The 21,020-nt window shown below is 41.4% G+C and overlaps 1 pseudogene, besides 4 other annotated features; it reads left to right on the forward strand.

Annotated features, from left to right (window-relative positions):
• Positions 384 to 901, forward strand: RPS20P14 (ribosomal protein S20 pseudogene 14; annotated as a pseudogene).
• Positions 9,241 to 9,936: an enhancer, noted in NCBI's record as "H3K27ac-H3K4me1 hESC enhancer chr3:186626722-186627417 (GRCh37/hg19 assembly coordinates)". NCBI's record gives its function as "activates a minimal SCP1, AML or CMV promoter by ChIP-STARR-seq in primed H9 embryonic stem cells {active_cell/tissue: H9 hESC(primed)}" and the evidence as "EXISTENCE:reporter gene assay evidence [ECO:0000049][PMID:30033119]".
• Positions 9,699 to 9,798: an enhancer, noted in NCBI's record as "active region_20944". NCBI's record gives its function as "activates an Ori minimal core promoter by ATAC-STARR-seq in GM12878 lymphoblastoid cells {active_cell/tissue: GM12878}" and the evidence as "EXISTENCE:reporter gene assay evidence [ECO:0000049][PMID:35858748]".
• Positions 9,869 to 9,918: an enhancer, noted in NCBI's record as "active region_20945". NCBI's record gives its function as "activates an Ori minimal core promoter by ATAC-STARR-seq in GM12878 lymphoblastoid cells {active_cell/tissue: GM12878}" and the evidence as "EXISTENCE:reporter gene assay evidence [ECO:0000049][PMID:35858748]".
• Positions 9,937 to 10,631: an enhancer, noted in NCBI's record as "H3K27ac-H3K4me1 hESC enhancer chr3:186627418-186628112 (GRCh37/hg19 assembly coordinates)". NCBI's record gives its function as "activates a minimal SCP1, AML or CMV promoter by ChIP-STARR-seq in primed H9 embryonic stem cells {active_cell/tissue: H9 hESC(primed)}" and the evidence as "EXISTENCE:reporter gene assay evidence [ECO:0000049][PMID:30033119]".

Below are 21,020 nucleotides of genomic sequence, written 5' to 3' on the forward strand. Positions count from 1 at the left end.
GAACTCCAAAACTCAAGTGACCCTCTTGCCTCAGCCTCCAGAGTAGCTAGGACTACAGGTGTGTGCCACCAGGCTTGGCTAATTAAGAAAAAAAATCTGTGTGTGGTGATCTGGTGATCTTGCTATGTTGCCCAGGCTATCTCAAACTCCTGGCCTCAAGTGATCCTCCCACCTCAGCCTCTCAAAATGTTGGCATTACAGGTGTGAGCCACCACACCCAGCCATTATTTCTACCTTTTAAACTAGTGAGTCTCAAACTTTGGTCTCTGAATCCTTTTACACTCTTAAAAATCATTGGTATCTCAAAGAGACTCTATGTAAATGAGCCATATTTATAGATATTTACCATACTAGAAGCTAAAATAAAAAATTTAAAAATATTTCTTTAAGAGGAAGACGCGGTCGTAGGTGCGAGGATTTCTGGTCCGCATGCTCCTGCTCCTGACTCACCGCTGTTCGCTCTCGCCGCCGAGGAACAAGTCGGTCATGAAGCCGCGCAGCAGCCATGGCTTTTAAGGATACCGGAAAAGCACCCGTGGAGCCGGAGGTGGCAATTCACCGAATTCGAATCACCCTAACAAGCCGCAGCGTAAAATCCTTGGAAAAGGTGGGTGCTGACTTGATCAGAGGCGCAAAAGCAAAGAATCTCAAAGTGAAAGGAGGAGTTCGAATGCCTTCCAAGACTTTGAGAATCACTACAAGAAAAACTCCTTGTGGTGAAGGTTCTAAGACGTGGGATCGTTTCCAGATGAGAATTCACAAGCGACTCTTTGACTTGCACAGTCCTTCTGAGATTGTTAAGCAGATTACTTCCATCAGTACTGAGCCAGGAGTTGAGGTGGAAGTCACCATTGCAGATGCTTAAGTCAACTATTTTAATAAATTGATTACCAGTTGTTAAAAAATATATATATATATTTATTTAAAATAATAAACCCATCACATATTGACATAACTAATAAGCCCACCACATATTTACAAGAATCACACATTGACACATTAACACTAACATTTCTATTAGAAAACTATTTTCCAAAACAAAAAAAATAAGAAGAGTTGCACTGCTTTACATTTTTGTAAATCTCTTAATGTCGCTTAACAGAAGGAGCTGAATTACAATATCTGCTTCTCTTGCAATATATTCAGTTGCAACCAAAATGCAATGATTTTGTTTGAAGTATACAGAGAAAAATTCATCCTCAAACAGGTAAGTAGATGGAAAAGGTAGGGGAGTTTTAACATCATTTTTAGGTAATTGTAGATACTTCTTTTGTTGCTACACCAAAGCTCAACAAGTGGTAGTTTCTTAAAGGTTAGCTGTAAAGTAGATTCTGAAATCATATCAGTGAATTTTTTGTACTCTGTTATATTAAAATCTACTGGGTTATTTTATACTTTGAATGAATCTTTTACCCCTTAATGCATGACCTTGTGACATTGTGTGCTGGGCTTTGAAAATTTTATTCACTGAGTCATGTATACCTTCCTGACATTGACCCATTTCCCTCTAAATATCAAGTAATCACATTTGATGTTTGCACCACTGTATTGCTTTGTAGGGCTGCCGTAACAGAGTACCACAAATTGTGTAGTTTTTTATAATAACAGAAATCTATTCTGTCACATTTCTGAAGGCTGGAAGTCTGAGATCAAGATGTTGGCAGGGTGGTTTCCTCCTTAAAGGGCTAAAGGAGAATCCTTTCATGCCCCTCTCTGAGTTTCTGGTGGTGGTGTGAAGTCCTTGGTATTTCTTGGCTTGTAGCTGCATTACATCAGTTTCTGCCTCTGTTTTCACAGGCCTACTTCCTTGGGTGTGGCTACATTTCTGTATCCAAATTTATACTCATAACACCAGTTCATTGAATTTGGGGCCTCCTCTAATCCAGTATGACCTCATGGTAACTCAAGTGTATCTGAAAACCCTGTTTGCCAAGGTCACAATCATAGATATAAAAAATTAGGACTTCAACATGTCTTTTTTGGAGCCACAATTCAACCCACAACACCCATTAGTGTCATCAGAAAAATGTTCAAGAATTGGGAACCTGTCAGATTCACAGGGGTGGGTACAAGTCTTCCAAAATTCTAATTTTTACCTGAAAACTTAGTTTTCATCATTGGCAAAAAATACAACTAGTAACAAACACTAAAATAAAAACTAGAAAAATTTGTTATTCTTGAAGTGAGAGGTTCACTTTATTGACTTTTAAGAAAACGTCTCCCAAATATGCAAGTCTGATAACCCTAGTTTATACTAGTAATTTTCTTTCAGGTGAAATCATATTTACCATACTAGAAGTTAAAAGTATGGTAAAACTTTTAATATAAAAGTTTTTTTCATGTTCCATAAAAAAATAAAACGGTTAGTTCAGTTCATAACTTAACTACAAAAGCGCTCTTCCTTGGGACAATCATCATATTTTACTCTGCAACTAAAATGCTTTGTATATCCTTCGTATATCGCATCACACAGAGTATTAAAAGGTTGTGGGCACAGTGGCTCATGCCTGTAATCCCAGCATTTTGAGAGGCTGAGGCAGGCAGATTACTTGAGCCCAGGAGTTTGAGACCAATCTGGGCAACAGAGTGAGACCCTGTCTTTACAAAACAAACAAACAAAAATTAGCTGGGCCTGGTGGTGCATGCCTGTGGTCCCAACTACCAGGAAGGTTGAGGTGGGAGAATTGCTTGAGCCCAGGAAGTCAAAGCTGCAGGGAGCTGAGATCACGCCACTGCATTCCAGCCTGAGCAATCGAGCAAAAACCCTACCTAAAAAAAAAAAAAGGAGGCTGGTGATTCAGGAATGATAGAAAAAAAAGGATATGTACTCAAAGGTAAAGACTTAATAAAAATTAATAATATTTATTGCTTCATAAAGGATATTTAAAAAACTTTTTTTTCCCTGTGAGTTGATGGTGGTGAAGCACGCAAGACTACTAGTGGACTTTAGTGCCTCATTGTACTAAGACACTAACAGTTTTACCCATTATTTCTTTTGCACTATTAGTGCAAATGTCAACACAGTGAAAAACCCAAATATGATCTTACTGTAATTGTGAAAATAGTTGTGACCTCATGGACCCCCTGAAAGTGTCTGTAGACCATATTTTGATAACCACGGTCCTAAAGAACTCTCCACCAACTCTACCTCTGCCTTAGGACTCATGAGTTCTTAGGAAGACTGTTACAGTAATCATCACCATAACCAGTTCTCTCTCTCTCCAAAGCTGTCCCCTTCTATCAGTCTTCCACACAGCCAGAGTGAGCGTTCAGAAAAGTATCAGTGGGACATTCTTCTGCTTAATACCCTTCAGTGAGTTCCCACTGGCTTTAAGGTCTAAACTCCTTAGCATAGGACATATGATGTAAACTCTTCATCTAGCAATGACTTATGTTTTCCACCTGTTCTCCAGCCATATTCTCCACATGTCTTCCAATTCAGCCAGACCAGTTCTCTTAATCTATCATGCTGTTCTCCCTGCCAGGAATATCCTCATCTCCTCACTTTTTATCTGGCTAAATCTTTACTTACTTTTAAAAGTCAGCGTCTGTTATCTCCTCCAGGAAGACACCCTGGATCATCTTCCTGGTTCATCAAAAGGATTAGCAGATTTTCCTTCTCTATATTTCCATGACATCGTGTGCTTAGTTCTATTATAGCATTTTTTTTTTTTTTTTTTGAGACAGAGTCTTGCTCTGTTGCCTGGACGGGAGTGCAGTGGCACGATCTTGGCTCACTGCAAACTCCACCTCCCAGGTTCAAGCAAATCTCCAGCCCCATCCTCCCAAGTAGCTGGGACTACAGGTGCACACTACCATGTCCAGCTATTTTTTTTCTATTTTTTAAAATTATTATACTTTACGTTCTGGGGTACATGTGCAGAATGTGCAGGTTTGTTACATAGGTATACATGTGCCATGGTGGTTTGCTACACCCATCAACCCATAATCTACGTTAAGTATTTCTCCTAATGCTATCCCTCCTTTACTCCCTGCAACCCCTGGCAGGTCTCAGTATGTGATGTTCCCCTCCCTGTGTCCATGTGTTCTGATTGTTCAGCTACCACTTATGAGTGAGAACATGTGGTGTTTGGTTTTCTGTTCTTGTGTTAGGTTGCTGAGAATGATGGTTTCCAGCTTCATCCATGTCCCTGCAAAGGACAAGAACTCATCCTTTTTTATGGCTGCATAGTATTCCATGGTGTATATGTGCCACATCTTCTTTATCCAGTCGATCATTGATGGGCATTTGGGTTGGTTCCAAATCTTTGCTATTGTGAACAGTGCCACAATAAACATACATGTGCGTATGTCTTCATAGTAGAATTATTTTTAATCCTTTGGGTGTATACTCAGTAATGGGATTGCTGGGTCAATTAGTATTTCTAATTCTAAATCCTTGAGGAACCACCACACTGTCTTCCACAATGGTTGAATTAATTTACACTCCCATCAACAATGTAAAAGCATTCCTATTTCTCCACATCCTCCCCAGCATCTGTTGTTTCCTGACTTTTTAATGATTGCCATTCTAACTGGCATGAGATGGTATCTCACTGTGCTTTTGATTTGCATTTCTCAAATGACCAGTGATGATGAGCTTTTCTTCATATGTTTGTTGGCTGCATAAATGTCTTCTTTTGAGGAGTGTCTGTTCATATCCTTTGCCCACTTTTTGATGGGGTTGTTTTATTCTTGTAAATTTGTTAAAGTTCGTTGTAGATTCTGGATATTAGCCCTTTGTCAGATGGATAGATTGCAAAAATTTTCTCCCATTCTGTAGGTTGCCTGTTCACTCTGATGATAGTTTCTTCTGCTGTGCAGAAGCTGTTTAGTTTAATTAGATCCCATTTGTTAATTTTGGCTTTTGTTGCCATTGCTTTTGGTGTTTTAGTCATGAAGTCTTTGCCCATGCCTATGTCCTGAATGGTATTGCCTAGGTTTTCTTCTAGGGTTTTTATGGTTTTAGGTCTTATGTTTAAGTCTTTAATTCATCTTGACTTAATTTTTGTATAAGGTGTAAGGAAGGGATCCAGTTTCAGTTTTCTGCATGTGGCTAGCCAGTTTTCCCAACACCATTTATGAAATAGGGAATCCTTTCTCCATTGCTTGTTTTTGTCAGGTTTGTCAAAGATCAGATGCTTGTAGATGTGTGGTATTATCTCTGAGGCCTCTGTTCTGTTCCATTAGTCTATATATCTGTTTTGGTATCAGTACCATGCTGTTTTGGTTACTGTAGCCTTGTAGTATAGTTTGAAGTCAGGTAATGTGATGCCTCCAGCTTTGTTCTTTTTGCTTAGGATTGTCTTGGCAATGTGGGCTCTTTTTTAGTTTCATATGAAATTCATACTAGTTTTTTTCCAATTTTTTGAAGAAAGTCAATGGTAGCTTGATGGGGACAGCACTGAATCTATAAATTACTTTGGGCAGTATGGCCTTTTTAACGATATTGATTCTTCTTATCCATGAGCATGGAATGTTCTTCCATTTGTTTGTGTCCTCTCTTATTTCATTGAGCAGTGATTTGTAGTTCTCCTTGAAGAGGTCCTTCACATCCCTTGTAAGTTGGATTCCTAGGTATTTTATTCTTTTTGTAGCAATTGTGAATGGCTCTCTGTTTGTCTGTTATTGGTGTATACGAATGCTTGTGATTTTTGTACATTGATTTTGTATCCTGAGACTTTGCTGAAGTTGCTTATCAGCTTAAGGAGATATTGGGCTGAGATAATGGGGTTTTCTAAATATACAATCATGTCATCTGCAAACAGAGACAATTTGACTTCTTCATTTCCTAATTGAATACACTTTATTTCTTTCTCTTGTCCAATTGCCCTGGCCAGAACTTCCAATATTATGTTGAATAGGAGTGGTAAGAGAGGGCATGCTTGTCTTGTGCCGGTTTTCAAAGGGAATGCTTCCAGTTTTTCCCCATTCAGTATGATATTGGCTGTGGGTTTGTCATAAATAGCTCTTATTATTTTGAAATACGTTCCATCAATACCAAGTTTATTGAGAGTTTTTAGCCTGAAAGGCTATTGTATTTTATCGAAGGCCTTTTCTGCATCTATTGAGATAATCATGTGGTTTTTGTCATTGGTTCTGTTTATGTGATGGAGTACGTTTATTGATTTGCATATGTTTAAACAGCCTCGCATCCCAGGGATGAAGCCAACTTGATCTTGGTGGATAAGCTTTTTGATGTGCTGTTGGGTTTGGTTTGCCAGTATTTTATTGAGGATTTTCGCATGGATGTTCATCAGGAATATTGGCCTGTAATGTTCTTTTTTTTTGTTGTGTCTCTGCCAAGTTTTGGTATCAGGATGATGCTGGCCTCATAAAATGAGTTAGGGAGGATTCCCTCTTTTTCTATTGTTTGGAATCATTTCAAAAGGAATGGTACCAGCTCCTCGTTGTACCTCTGGTAGAATTCGGCTGTGAATCCGTCTGATTCTGGATTTTTTTTGGTTGGTAGATTATTAATTACTGCCTCAATTTCAGAGCCTGTTATTGGTCTATTCAGGGACTCGACTTCTTCCTGGTTTAGTCTTGAAAGGGTGTATGTGTCCAGGAATTTATCCATTTCTTCTAGATTTTCTAGTTTATTTGCACAGTGGTGTTTATAGTATTCTCTGATGGTAGCTTGTATTTCTGTGGGATCAGTGGTGATATCCCCTTTATCATTTTTTATTGCTTCTGTTTGATTCTTCTCTCTTTTCTTCTTTATTAGTCTGGCTAGCAGTCTATCTGTTTTGTTGATCTTTTCAAAAAACCAGCTTCTGGATTCATTTATTTTTTTGAAGGTGTTTTTGTGTCTTTATCTCCTTCAGTTCTGCTCTGATCTTAGCTATTTCTTGTCTTCTGCTAGCTGTTGAATTTGTTTGCCCTTGCTTCTCTAGTTATTTTAATTGTGATGTTAGGGTGTAAAGTTTAGATCGTTCCTGCTTTCTCTTGTGGGCATTTAGTGCTATAAATTTCCCTTTAAACACTGCTTTAAATGTGTCCCAGAGATTCTGGTATGTTGTGTGTTTGTTCTCATTGGTTTCAAAGTACATCTTTATTTCTGCCTTAATTTCATTATTTACCCAGTAGTCATTCAGGAGCAGGTTGTTCAGTTTCCATGTAGTTGTGTGGTTTTTAGTGAGTTTCTTAATCCTGAGTTTTAATTTGATTGCACTGTGGTCCGAGAGACTGTTACGACTTCCGTTCTTTTGCATTTGCTGAGGAGTGCTTTACTTTCAATTATGTGGTCAATTTTAGAATAAGTGTGATGTGGTGCTGAGAAGAATGTATATTCTGTTTATTTTGGGTGGAGAGTTCTGTAGATATCTATTAGGTCTATTGTTCCAGAGCTGAGTTCAAGTCCTGAATATCCTTGTTAATTTTGTCTCATTGATCTGTCTAATATTGACAGTGGAGTGTTAAAGTCTCCCATTATTATTGTGTGGGAGTCTAAGTTTCTTTGTAGGTCTCTAAGAACTTGCTTTATGAATCTGGGTGCTCCCGTATTGGGTGCATATATATTTAGCGTAGTTAGCCCTTCTTGTTGCATTGATTTCTTTACGATTGTGTAATACCCTTCATTGTCTCTTTTGATCTTTGTTGGTTTAAAGTCTGTTTTATCAGAGACTAGGACTTCAACCCCTGCTTTTTTTTGCTTTCCATTTGCTTGGTAAATATTCTTCCATCCCTTTCTTTTGAGCCTATGTGTGTCTCTGCACATGAGATGGGTCTCCTGAATACAGCACCATTGATGGATCTTGACTCTTTATCCAATTTGCCAGTCTGTGTCTTTTAATCGGGGCATTTAGCCCGTTTACATTTAAGGTTAATATTGTTATGTGTAAATTTAATTCTGTCATTATGGTGCTAGCTGGTTATTTTGCCTGTTAGTTGGTGCAGTTTCTTCATAGTGTCGATGGTCTTTACAATTTGGTATGTTTTTGCAGTGGCTGGTACCGGTTGTTCCTTTCCACATTTAGTGCTTCCTTCAGGAGCTCTTGTAAGGCAGGCCTGGTGGTGACAAAATCTCTCAGCATTTGCTTGTCTGAAAAGGATTTTACTTCTTCACTTATGAAGCTCAGTTTGGCTGGATATGAAATTCTTGGTTGAAAATTCTTCAAGAATGTTGAATATTGGCCCCCATTCTCTTCTGGCTTGTAGGGTTTCTGCTGAGAGATCCGCTGTTAGTCTGATGGTTTTCCCTTTGTGGGTAAGCCGACCTTTCTCTCTGGCTGCCTTAACATTTTTTCCTTCATGTCAACCTTGGTGAATTTGACGATTGTGTGTCTTGGGGTTGCTCTTCTGGAGGAGTATCTTTATGGTGTTCTCTGTATTACCTGAATTTGAATGTTGGCCTGCCTTGCTAGGTTGGGGAAGTTCTCCTGCATAATATCCTGAAGAGTGTGTTCCAACTTGGTTCCATTCTCCCCATCACTTTCAGGTACACCAATGAAACGTAGATTTGGTCTTTTCACATAGTCCCATATTTCTTGGAGGCTTTGTTTGTTTCTTTTCATTCTTTGAAAATACTATAGTATTAAATAATGATAATTATAACAAATCTTGTCTTCTCACTTTATTTCATTAAGTTCATCTTCAATCTGTGATATCCTTTCTTCTGCTTGATTGATTAGGCTATTGATACTTGTGTATGCTTCACGAAGTTCTGGTGCTGTGTTTTTTAGCTCCATCAGGTCATTTATGTTCTTCTATAAACTAGTTATTCTAGTTAGCAATTCATCTAACCTTTTTTCAAGGTTCTTAGCTTCCTTGCATTGGATTAGAACATGCTCCTTTAACTCGGAGGAATTTGTTATTACCCATCTTCTAAAGCCTACTTCTGTCAATTCGTCAAACCCATTCTCCGTCCAGATTTGTTCCCTTGCTGGCAAAGAGTTGTGATCCTTTGGAGGAGAATAGGCATTCTGGTTTTTGGAATTTTCAGCCTTTTTGTGCTGGTTTATCCCCATCTTCATGGATTTATCTACCTTTGGTCTTGGATGTTGGTGACCTTCGGATGGGGTTTTTGTGTGGACATCCTCTTTGTTGATGTTGATGCTATTCTTTTCTGTTTGTTAGTTTTCCTCCTAACAGTCAGGCCCCTCTGCTGCAGGTCTGCTGGAGTTTGCTGGAGGTCCACACCAGACCCTGTTTGCCTGGATATCACCAGCAGAGGCTGCAGAACAGCAGATTGCTGCCTGTTTCTTCCTCTGGAAGCTTTGTCCCAGAGGGACACCTGCCAGATGCCAGCCAGAGCTCTCCTGTATGAGGTGTCTGTCGGCCCCTACTGGGAGGTGTCTTCCAGTCAGGATACACAGGGGTCAGGGACCCACTTGAGGAGGCAGTATGACCCTTATCAGAGCTCGAACGCTGTGCTGGGAGGTCCACTGCTCTCTTCAGAGCCATCAGGCAGGGACGTTTGAGTCTGCTGAAGCTGCACCCACAGCTGCCCTTTCCCTCAGGTGCTCTGTCCCAGGGAGATGGGGGTTTTATCTGTAAGTCCCTGACTGGGGCTGCTGCCTTTTTTTCAGAGATGTGCTGCCCAGAGAGGAGGAATCTAGAGAGGCAGTCTGGCTACAGTGGCCCTGCTGAGCTGCGGTGGGCTCCACCCAGTTTGAACTTCCTGGCGGTTTTGTTTACACTGTGAGGGTAAAACCACCTACCCAAGCCTCAGCAATGGCGGATGCTCCTCCCCCGACGAAGCTTGAATGTCCCAGGTCAACTTCAGACTGCTGCGCTGGCAGCGAGAATCTCAAGCCAGTGGATCTTAGCTTGCTGGGCTCCGTGGGGGTGGGACCCTCTGAGCTAGAACACTTGGTTCCCAGGCTTCAGCCCCCTTTCCAGGGGAGTGAACGGTTCTGTCTCGCTGGCATTCCAGGTGCCTCTGGGGTATGAAAAAACAACTCCTGTAGCTAGCTCAATGTCTGCCCAAACGGCCACCCGGTTTTGTGCTTGAAATCCAGGGCCCTGGTGGCATGGGCAACTGGAGGGAATCTCCTGGTCTGCAGGTTGCAAAGACCATGTGAAAAGCACAGTATCTGGGCCAGAGTGCTCTGTTGGCCACGGCACAGTCCCTCACGGCTTCCCTTGGCTAGGGGAGGCAAATCCCCCGACCGCTTGTGCTTCCTGTGCTTCCTGGGTGAGGCTACACCCCACCCTGCTTTGGCTCGCTCTTCGTGGGCTGCACCCACTATCCAACCAGTCCCTGTGAGATGAACTGGGTACCTCAGTTGGAAATGAAGAAATCTCCTGCCTTCTGCATGATCTCACTGGGAGCTGCAGACCGGAGCTTTTCCTATTCGGCCATCTTGCCAGCACCAATTTTTTTTTCATTTTCAGTAGAGGCGAGGTTTCCCCATGTTGGCCAGGCTGGTCTTGAACTCCTGACCTCAGGTGATCCACCCGCCTCGGCCTCCCGAAGTGCTGGGATTACAGGCATGAGCCATTGCGCCTGGCCTATCATAACATTTTTAATATCATATTATAGTATTAAATAAAGATAATTACCATTATTATAACAGCGAACATCTATGCACTACTTGCTGGACACTGTGTCAAGCACTTTAAATGCATCGTAATTTCTGGCATATTAATTTATTAATCATATTAAGTCTTCAAGTTCCTTAACCTCAGGGTATGGGAGGTAAGAGAGCAGTAAGGTTCATAGTTTTTCTTTTTCTTTCTATTTATTTATTTATTTATTTATTTTTGAGATGGAGTTTCACTCTTGTCTCCCAGGCTGGAGTGCGATGGTGCGATCTCAGCTCACTGCAAACTTCGCCTCCCGGGTTCAAGCAATTCTCCTGCCTCAGCCTCCTGAATAGCTGGGATTACAGGCATGTGCTACCACGCTCAGCTAATTTTGTATTTTTAGTAGAGATGGGGTTTCTCCATGTTGGTCAGGCTGGTCTCGAATTCCTGACCTCAGGTGATCCTCCCGCCCTGACCTCCCAAAGTGCTGGGATTACCAGTGTAAGCCACCGCATCCAGCCTATTTATTTGTTTTTTGAGAGTGAGTCTCATTCTGTAACCAGGCTAGAGTGCAGTGGTGTGATCTCGACTCACTGCAACCTCCACCTCCTGGGCTCAAGCGATTCTCCTGACTCAGCTTCCCAAGTAGCTAGGATTACAGCATGTGCCACCATGCCCAGCTAATTTTTGTATTTTTAGTAGAGACAGGGTTTCACCATGTTGGCCTGGCTGGTCTTGAATTCCTGACCTCAAGTGATCCACCTGTCTCGGCCTCTCAAAGTGTTGGGATTACACGTATGAGCCACCATGCCCGGCCAGGTTCGTAGTTTTTAAAGTTTGGAAGATACGAGTTCCCATCCCAGCTTCAATCTATGCGAATTTAAACAAGTTTCCCATTTCTCTTGCTCAAAAAAATGGTTGTTGGGCTTTTTTTGTTTTTTAACCAAAGTGATAACATGATATCCAGAAAAGTAGAAAGAAGAAAACAATAAATTACCTCCATATCCCACCATTTAGAAATAAAATTAAAATTTGTGAGCATGCTTATAGATATTTCCAAGTGGATTTGTATGTTAGAATGATACATAAATAAATTCAAAACTAATAACCTAGGATTATATTCTATATTCTGTTGTTTAAAAGTGAAAAAAGAGGTCCTGACGCAGTGGCACACACACCTGTAATCCCAGCAGTTTGGGAGGCCGAGACAGGTGGATCAGGAGTTCGAAACCAGCCTGGCCAACATGGCAAAACTCCAACTCTACTAAATTACAAAAATTAGCCAGGCGTGGTGGCATGCTCCCATAATTCCAGCTACTCGGGAGGTTGTGGCAGCAGAAATACTTGAGCCTGGGAGGTGGAGGTGGCAGTGAGCCGAGAATGCACCACTACACTCCAGCCTGGGCGACAGAGCAAGACTCCGTCTCAAAAAAAGAAAAAAAAAAGTGAAAAAAGGATTGCTGAGATTCAGGTAATGTTTCTTTACCATGAGAGATATTGGGATATTGGCTACTCTTTTAAACCCTTTAAGCAGGGCCCCACCCTGGGTCCAGCAGGCTATATATTAACCTACACAGGCAGTTTGATTGGCTTCACACAGTTAATTTAAAGAAATAGAAACTAGGCTGAGCGTGGTGGCTCATGCCTGTAATCCCAGCACTTTGGGAGGCTGAGGTGGGTGTATCACGAAGTCAGGAGATCGAGACCATCCTGGCTAACACGGTGAAACCCCGTCTCTACTAAAAATACAAAAAATTAGCCGTCTAATTTAGTCTCGCTCTGTTGCCCAGGCTGGAGTGCAGTGGTGCGATCTCGGCTCAGTGCAAGCTCTGCCTTCCGGGTTCACGCCATTCTCCTGCCTCAGCCTCCTGAGTAGCTGGGACTACAGGCGCCCGCCACCACGCCTGGCTAATTTTTTGTATTTTTAGTAGAGACGGGGTTTCACGGTGTTAGCCAGGATGGTCTCGATCTCCTGACCTCGTGATCCACCCGCGTCGGCCTCCCAAAGTGCTGGGATTACAGGCGTGAGCCACCAAACCCGGCCACATTGCACTGCTCTTTAGAGAAAAATCTGATTTTTTAAAAAACCCTGAGAGGTGACTGGATTTTTCTTTCTGAATATTTAAAGAATTTTTTTTTTTGCCTTCAACTTTAACAGGCATACGCCTAAATATCTTTTTTCAACCAATATTGTTGGAAAACAATGCATCTTCTTGAGTGAAAAACAGAATCACTTTGGAGAGATTTTCCTGTATTACATTTCTAGATAATTTCCCTAGTTAATTGTTGTAACTCTTATTTCCAGGACAGTAGTAGTTGTTATGTTAGGTGGTTTTTATCATCTATTCTTTACATGTCTTAAATTCCTTATCCTTTCTTTCTATTTTCATTATGATTATACCAAGCCTTCCTTCCACAAAAATAATTTGATGCTCGGTTGGTTCTATTGTGTTACTTGGTTATTTTTCTAGGTTATTTGTTAGATGTAAATTGGGATTTTGCTACACAACTTGTTTCTTTAGTACTTTAATCTCCCTTTTAATCTTATGCTGTTATTTTATCCTTTTGTCTTTGTGTTCTTATTTTGTTAAAATCGTATACTTTATTAGAATGTGATATATGTCTGAAGAGTGATAAATTCACAATGAGTATTGCACTGTTCCTTGGCTTGGGCTACGTTTTCTTCCAGATTGGATTACTTTTCTCTATATCGAATGCTTTCATAGCTTCTGCCCTGTTTCTTTTTGTTATCTAGCCCGTGATTGACACAGACGGTTTGGTAATCTCGTTCCATTATTTGGTTATATGTGGGTGACTTCTCCTTGAAGCCCTTCTATCATGTGTAAAACCCAGTAGTCGCCGGGCGCGGTGGCTCACGCCTGTAATCCCAGCACTTTGGGAGGCCGAGGCGGGCGGATCACGAGGTCAGGAGATCGAGACCATCCTGGCTAAAACGGTGAAACCCCGTCTCTACTAAAAACACACAAAAAAAATTAGCCGGGCGTAGTGGCGCGCGCCTGTAGTCCCAGCTACTTGGGAGGCTGAGGCAGGAGAATGGCGTGAACCCGGGAGGCGGAGCTTGCAGTGAGCCGAGATCCCGCCACTGCACTCCAGCCTGGGCGACAGAGCGAGACTCCGTCTCAAAAAAAAAAAACAAAAAAAAACCCAGTAGTCTTTCCATCAGGACTACAGGGGCTGCTTGCTGTCTACATTTCCGTAATTTGAGGGCATAGGGAAGGCATGGAGCTGCGCACAGCCCTTGCTAGAGGACCTGGGCATGACACTTTCTGAGATCTCATTAAGATGTCCAATTTTGTACCCCGCTCCTGTGTGCCTTCCCTAAGCCAGCACATGCTCTGGAAGCTGTCAGGCCCTGGCTGTTCTGCAATTTCTATGGTGGTATGTAGTGGCTTCTGCTTCTAAGCATTTTGTCTTGACTTTTCTTCAAGCTTCCTTTTCATCCTCTCAGTCAGATTCTCTGCAGATTGAAACAGGGAGAGCGATTCCTAAAAATTATTAGAAATATTGCCATTGTATCTACTTCCCTTCACACTACTTCTAGAAAAGGTAAGTATGAAATTATGATCCCTGTGTCACCACACCAGAACTTTATATTTCTTCCTCTGACAACTTCTTTTTGACAGCTAAGGCATAAGCTTGAATCTCTTTCCTTGCTGCTGGTAGATTTTTTGCAATGTCATTTTGGAAGGATATTTTCAACGAATATAGAATTCTAGATTGCCAGGTGTTCTTTCCTTCTCTCCCTGCAAACACTTTAAAGATGGTCCACTATCTTCTGGTCTCCATATTTTCTCTTTTCTTTTCTCTTTCTTTCTTTCCCTTTCTTTCTTTCTTTCTCTTTCTTTCTTTCTTTCTTTCTTTCTTTCTTTCTTTCTTTCTCTTTTCTTTCTTCTTTCTTTCTCTCTTCTTTCTTTTCTCTCTCTCTTTCTCTCTCTCTCCCTCCTCCTCTATCTTTCTTTCTTTTTTTTTTTTTTCAGAGTCTCTCTCTGTTGCTCAAGCTGGAGCGCAGTGGTGCAATCTCGGCTCACTGCAACCTCCGCCTCCTGGGTTCAAGCAATTTTCCTGCCTCAGCCTATCGAGTAGCTGGGACTACAGCTGCGTGCCACCATGCCTGGCTAATTTTTGTATTTTTAGTAGAGATGAAGTTTCACTATGTTGGCCAGGCTGGTCTCAAACTCCTGTCCTCAGGTAATCCACCTGCCTCGGCTTCGCAGAGTGCTGGGATTACAGGCGTGAGCCACTGTGCCTAGCCCTCCATATTTTCTCATGAGGATTCAGAAGTGATTCAAATGACTCCTCCACTATGTGAGGTATCATTTTTTTCTCTGGTTGCTTTCAAAATTCTCTCTTTAGTTTTCAACAGTTTGACTATGATAGGCCTATATGTGTCTTTATTTACATGTATGCTGCCTGGGGTTCACTGAACTTTAATTTATAAATGTATGTCTTTCAACACATTGGGGAACATTTAAGCCATTTGTTCTTCAAAATTTTTTTTCTGGTCTCATTCTCTCTTCTACTTCTGGAATTCAATTACCTGTATGCAGGTATTTTTATATTGTACTACAGGTCCCTGAGACCCTGTTCAATGTTTTCAACTTTTTTTGTCATCAGATTGGACAATTTCTATGGCTATAAAATTCTCTCTCTCTTTTTTTAAATCAAGTCCATCCAGTGAATTTTTAATTTAAAATATTGCATTTGTCAGTTTTAAGTTTCCATTGGTTCTTTTTTACATAGTTTCTATTTCTTGTTTGAGATTTCCTGCCTTTCATTCATTAAAGTATACTTTCCTTTACTTTGCTGAGATGAGTTGTAATACCTGCTTGAGAGTTCTTATCTGCTGCTTGGGGTTGGCCCAAGTTGATTGTTTTTTCTCTTAATCCTGGATCATATTCTCTGGCTCTGTGCTGTTTTTTCTCTTAACTTTGGATCATATTTTCTGGCTCTGTGCATGGTATGTGATTTTCGAGTATATTTAGGCATTATAAATTTGATGTTCTGGAGATTCTACGTCCTATTATGTTCTTCTGAGAATGCTGGTGTTTTGTTTTAGCAAGCACTTAACTTAGCTGAGCTCAAACTGCAAAACTCTATCTCTTGGGTCATTTTCACTACCATTAGGTAGGCTGATTTGAGCATGCCTTATGTGAGTGTGGTTCAGGAATCTGCCCAAATCTTGATCAGAGTTTATACACAGGATCCAGGTCTTTCTTACTCTGGCTCATTTCTTTCTAGTATCCTCCCACCTCCTGCTTTCTAGCATGCTGTATTAGAGTTTTAGCTATCCCACATAGTACCAACCTCAGCCTGTGCTCAGGCTACAAAACTATAAAAATAGGAAACTCACCCCTTGCCATTTCACTTATCCAAGTTTTGACTCCCCCCGGATTCTGTCTGCTTCTGTTTACTCTTTAGTGCCTTCAGGCTTTTTGTTTTTGTTTGTTTCTTTGTTTATTTCATCCAAAGTTTATATGTATTATCTGTAGGAAACCAGGATCTGGTAGATGCTTATTTGTCCATACCAAAAGCGGAAATTGATGGTACTTTTTTTCTGTTGCTTTTACTTTTGCTGTTCATTGTGTTAAATGTTGGGAGGAGAGAGATTATGTCATCTAGAGTCATTTTGCCATCTTTATCCAGAAGTTTTCTTGTGCAAGTGGTTTCTTCTTCTAGAGCCTCAGCTTTATAATCTATAAAATAAGCAAAAGAGTTTTTTGTGGAGTGTGTTTAAAGGTTTAGATAAGATAGTGCGGGTAAAACTTTTTAGCCCAGAGCTTGGCAGTTAATAAGATTATTACCGTTATCTTCAGTGTCAGTATCTCATCCCTAACATGGTGCCGAGTATGTAGCAAGAGATAAATAATGATTGTTGGATAAATGAATTAGATACATGAAAATAGAGAAGGAAGAGAATGGATACAAGCAATGGTGAAACTAACTACAGGAAACTGAGAAGCTGCTTCAAGGGTGGCATTTCCCCATTGGAGCTGGGCATGTAACAGACACACAGGCCTGTGGCCAGGTAGCTCTTCCCTCTGGCCAGGCTCTGTTACACAACGTGTTCTCTTTAATTTGTGCGGTGATTCATGACACAAGCCGCAGCACGAGGACGATCCTGCAGAACTGGGGGAAGAGTCTCCACATCCCAGCTTTGTACACTTTCCAGAAGGCACAGAGGAATTTTGGGGGGATTCTGGAGCCTGCGTGGAACTCCCTTGTTTCCTGAGCATTGGAGGAAATGTCTGAAAGCTGCATTTGGGTGGGGCAGTAGCAGAGACAGAATGGATAGGTTTGGGGATGGAGGAGGTGTTCATTCTCCAAGCGTGACAAGCTCATAACTCCCTGACTTCAGGAAGGAACTATTACCCACACCAGAGGGCTGAAATGCCAACCCTCAGCAGGTGGTTGCATGCTCCAAAACCATAATGGTATTTACCAGGGTGAAGGGGTCCAGCATTTAGGCACTATCAGTGGCTGTGCTTCCATTCACAGCACCTGCCAGGGCTACTCCAAGAGAACAGTAAGTTGAGCAAGCTCCCTGAGCCTGGGAGTCTTCTTAGCTGGATAAAGATACAAAAAGACTTTCGAAAATATTAAGTAACATGTTTAAAATGGTAAATTTTATGTTACATATGCCTTACCACAATGACAAACAAACAAAATTGGTAAAATAATATATGCTCTTTGTAGACAATTTGAAAAATTAAGAAAGATTTAAAGAAGAAACAAAGTTACTTATATTCTTTCCTTCTAGTATTTTGGCATATGTATTTCCTTTCTTCTTTTACGTATCGGAATGGACTTTTTTTTTTACTTAATTGAAATTATACTGCCTATAATGTGGGATTTTTGGGGTAATTTAGTATTATAATCTCAGCATATTTGTCATTAAGTATTGTTTGAATATCTTTTAATGGATTCAAAGAAATTCATTTATGGATTCATCAAATTGTACTTAATGGTCCCAGTGGCTATTTAGGCAGTTTTTAATATTTCACTAATAAAATAACACTTTAATAAACATCTTTAAACATGAGTCTATGTGTAAAAGACCTTCTGAAATTAGAACATTTTTTCTTCTCTTCTTTCATCCTGCTTAGATCCTACATCTCCTTAAATGCCAGGCTCAGATCTGGCCTCTGCTAAAAAACCTACCCTGAGAATTTCAGCCTGCAAGAATCCCTTCCTTCTCTGACTCCAATTCATTCATTTTTTCCTCAAATATTATTTTACGGCATATCAAATATGTATATGTATATGTTTATCAAATATTAATTTCTTTTCTAAAGTGATTGGTTAGTACAATGATTATGGCTAAGCCTATCGAGTACTTACTCAATGATGGCCCCTTTTAAAGCACTTTACATGGATTACATCATTTCATTTTTACAATACTATCCATGCTTTACCTATAGGAAAACTGAAGCATAAGTAATTTATCAAAGATTGCTCAGCTGTTCGTTGGGTGAGCTGGGATTTAACACCACCCACTGTGGCTCTGAGTCCATTAACTGTATTAACATTTATGAATACTGCCTCAGCTGGACTATTCTAGGGAATAAAGTAGACAGAGCAAATACACTTCTGTCCTCTGGAATGAACTCACAGCCTGAGCTGCCCTGCTGAGTCTGGATCATAAAGGGTCTTGAGCCACTTCCTGATGACGGTCTGTGAGTACCTCTTATTCTTCCATTCTGTGTACTCCTGCAGGGCTGGGATATGGTCCCCTTCTGCCTTCCACCCCCATAAAGCATACACTTAGTGCACAAGGGCTACTCAGTAAGGCCCTCAAACTGACGGCTGGGAGGTAGCAGAAAGAGATGAGTGCCTGGAGACTAGGGTTTGCTTCTGTCAGTCTGGTGTCTGTTTCTTCATGAGGGAAATGAGATCGTCTTTGACATTCTGAGAGTGTAGTAAGATCTTCCAGTAATACCTTAGGTTTTTCTCACATGGTAAAGAGGAAACACTAACATAAGACCCTCCTGTGGCCCTGAGATCTTTGATCTGGTCCATGGCCTGTAATTTCTGGGTTAAACATGAGAAAGCTGTCTCCACACTGCTTCTTTTTCAGTATGCACAGATGTGAGTGGAAATCTTTTAGAGGCTAAAAAGCAGTGCTAACTTTCTCACTGCTACATATTTGTTTCATAAAGTAGGTAATCACAGTTACAATGATTTTTTTTTTTTTTTTTTTTTGAGACAGAGTCTCGCTCTGTTGCCCAGGCTGGAGTGCAGTGGTTCGATCTCAGCTCACTGTAATCTCCATCTCCCGGGTTCAAGCAATTCTCCTGCCTCAGCCTCCTGAGTAGCTGGGACTATAGATGCCTGCCACCACGCCCGGCTAATTTTTGTATATTTAGTAGAGATGGGGTTTCACCATGTTGGCCAGGCTGGTCTTGAACTCCTGACTTCAAGTGATCCGCCTGCCCCTGCCTCCCAAAGTTCTGGGATTACAGGCGTGAGCCACCGCGCCCAGGCAGGTGTTTTGTTTTGAATGAGATTAAAGGATGAAAGAGGAACAAAAAAGAAAGGAAGAAGAGGAGGAGGAGGCTTCCTATGCCAGGCCCTAGGCATCTGGGTTTTCTGCATTGGTCCTAGGGTTAAAAAAAGTTAATTGTTCACCTCCTTCTGATTGGTTTCACATCTAATAATTATAATACCTTTCTCCTTTTGTGTATGTAGTTGATATACAGCCTGCCACCGCACACACCAGCATTATTGCTGATCTTTGCTGTGATCCTTCGAGGAATGCAGTGCCTCCATTTCACAGATTCAGAGAAGCTAAGGGCCTTTTTAAAAGCTATCTGGCTGGTAAAAAGCAAGACAGGAAGCAAACTCCATTCTGCTTGGCCCCAAAGAACTCCTGAAGCATCACCACAGCACTGAGTTAGCTGTGGTCTCATTAGTTACCTAAGGAATGAACTGTCAGCAGCCGATGGAGAGGCACACTGCAGAGACATGGCCTTTTTGGAGTTTTTTTTTGTTTTTTTTTGTTTTTTTTTTGAGATGGAGTCTCACTCTGTCTCCCAGGCTGGAGTGCAGTGGTGCGATCTAGGCTCACTGCAACCTCTGCCTCCCGGGTTCAAGTGATTCTCCTGCCTCAGCCTCCTGAGTAGCTGGCATTACAGGTGCCCGCCACCACGCTCGGCTAATTTTTTTTGTATTTTTAGTAGAGACGGGGTTTCACCATGTTGGCCAGGTTGGTCTCGAACCCCTGACCTCATGATCTGCCCGCCTTGATCTCCCAAAATGCTGGGATAACAGACGTGAGTCACCGTGCCTGGCCCATTTTGGAGTTTTATTAAAGACCTTGGAGGGGATTAGAGATGGAAATGTCAACTAAGAAGAGCAAGCCTATTTCCTGGCCATGAATGGAGTTAGGAGAGACACTTCCTTCCCTCCCTACCTCTGTGGTCCTTGGCCAAAGTTTGGGGAATGGCTAGTGAGGAGGGAAGGTTCCAATCTGATTTAATTTACAACTCTAAATCTGATAAAGAAAATTTTGTCCTGATTTGTGGACTTATTTATGTAAAACAAAGTGTGTTTCCATGAAACACCTAATGCGTATTTATTTGAAACGGTATTAAAAACCAAATTCCAGGCCAGGCGCGGTGGCTCACGCTTGTAACCCCAGCACTTTGGGAGGCCGAGGCGGGTGGATCACCTGAGGTTGGGAGTTCGAGACCAGCCTGACCAACATGGAGAAACCCCGGCTCTACTAAAAATACAAAATTAGCCGGGCATGGTGGCGCATGCCTGTAATCCCAGCTACTCAGGAGGCTGAGGCAGGAGAATTGCTTCAACCCGGGAGGTGGAGTTTGTGGTGAGCTAAGATCACACCAAAGCACTCTAGCCTGGGCAACAAGAGGGAAACTCTGTCTCTAAATAAATAAATAAATAAATAAAAATAAAAAATAAAAAACAAAAACCAAATTCCATTTAGCTATATATCAAATACATGAGAAAACAAAAGGTACAGTCCCAGGAATTTCTGCATGTGTCTACAAGACTTCAGAGAAGGAAGAGATCAATGTGGATGCCAGGCTTCCAGGAGGAGCTTAGGATTGAACCAGACCTTAGAGGATGGCTTGAAGGCAGAGAGAGATGAAGGAGGCTTTTCAGAGCAATGAAGAAGCGAGTCCTAGTGGTAGAGACAGTGAGGAGACAGTCAGGTCATCCTCTCCTCACTTTGCCTCCAATGAAAAACAGATGAGCCTATTGGTTAAAGAGTGGCTTTGAAGTCATACACATCCTAGTTCAATTTCCAGCTTTGCAATTACAAGCCTTTGGCCAGTTATTCAAACTTCCTAAGCCTTAGTAATCTCATTTCCAAATGCGGTTAATGACGCACACCTCCCAGGATCTTTATGAGGATTAAATATCATAACCATTTCAGCTCCTGCTTCAGTAATTTGAGGAAGTCATTATTATCTCTTAGATCATTCTGGAATATCCAGATACAAATCTCAACCACGCTCTATTTCACCTCAGTAATCAATGGAAATTACAATTTCTTCTAGCTCATG

This window comes from Homo sapiens, chromosome 3 (assembly GCF_000001405.40).
Source record: "Homo sapiens chromosome 3, GRCh38.p14 Primary Assembly".
Classification (NCBI taxonomy): domain Eukaryota; kingdom Metazoa; phylum Chordata; class Mammalia; order Primates; family Hominidae; genus Homo; species Homo sapiens.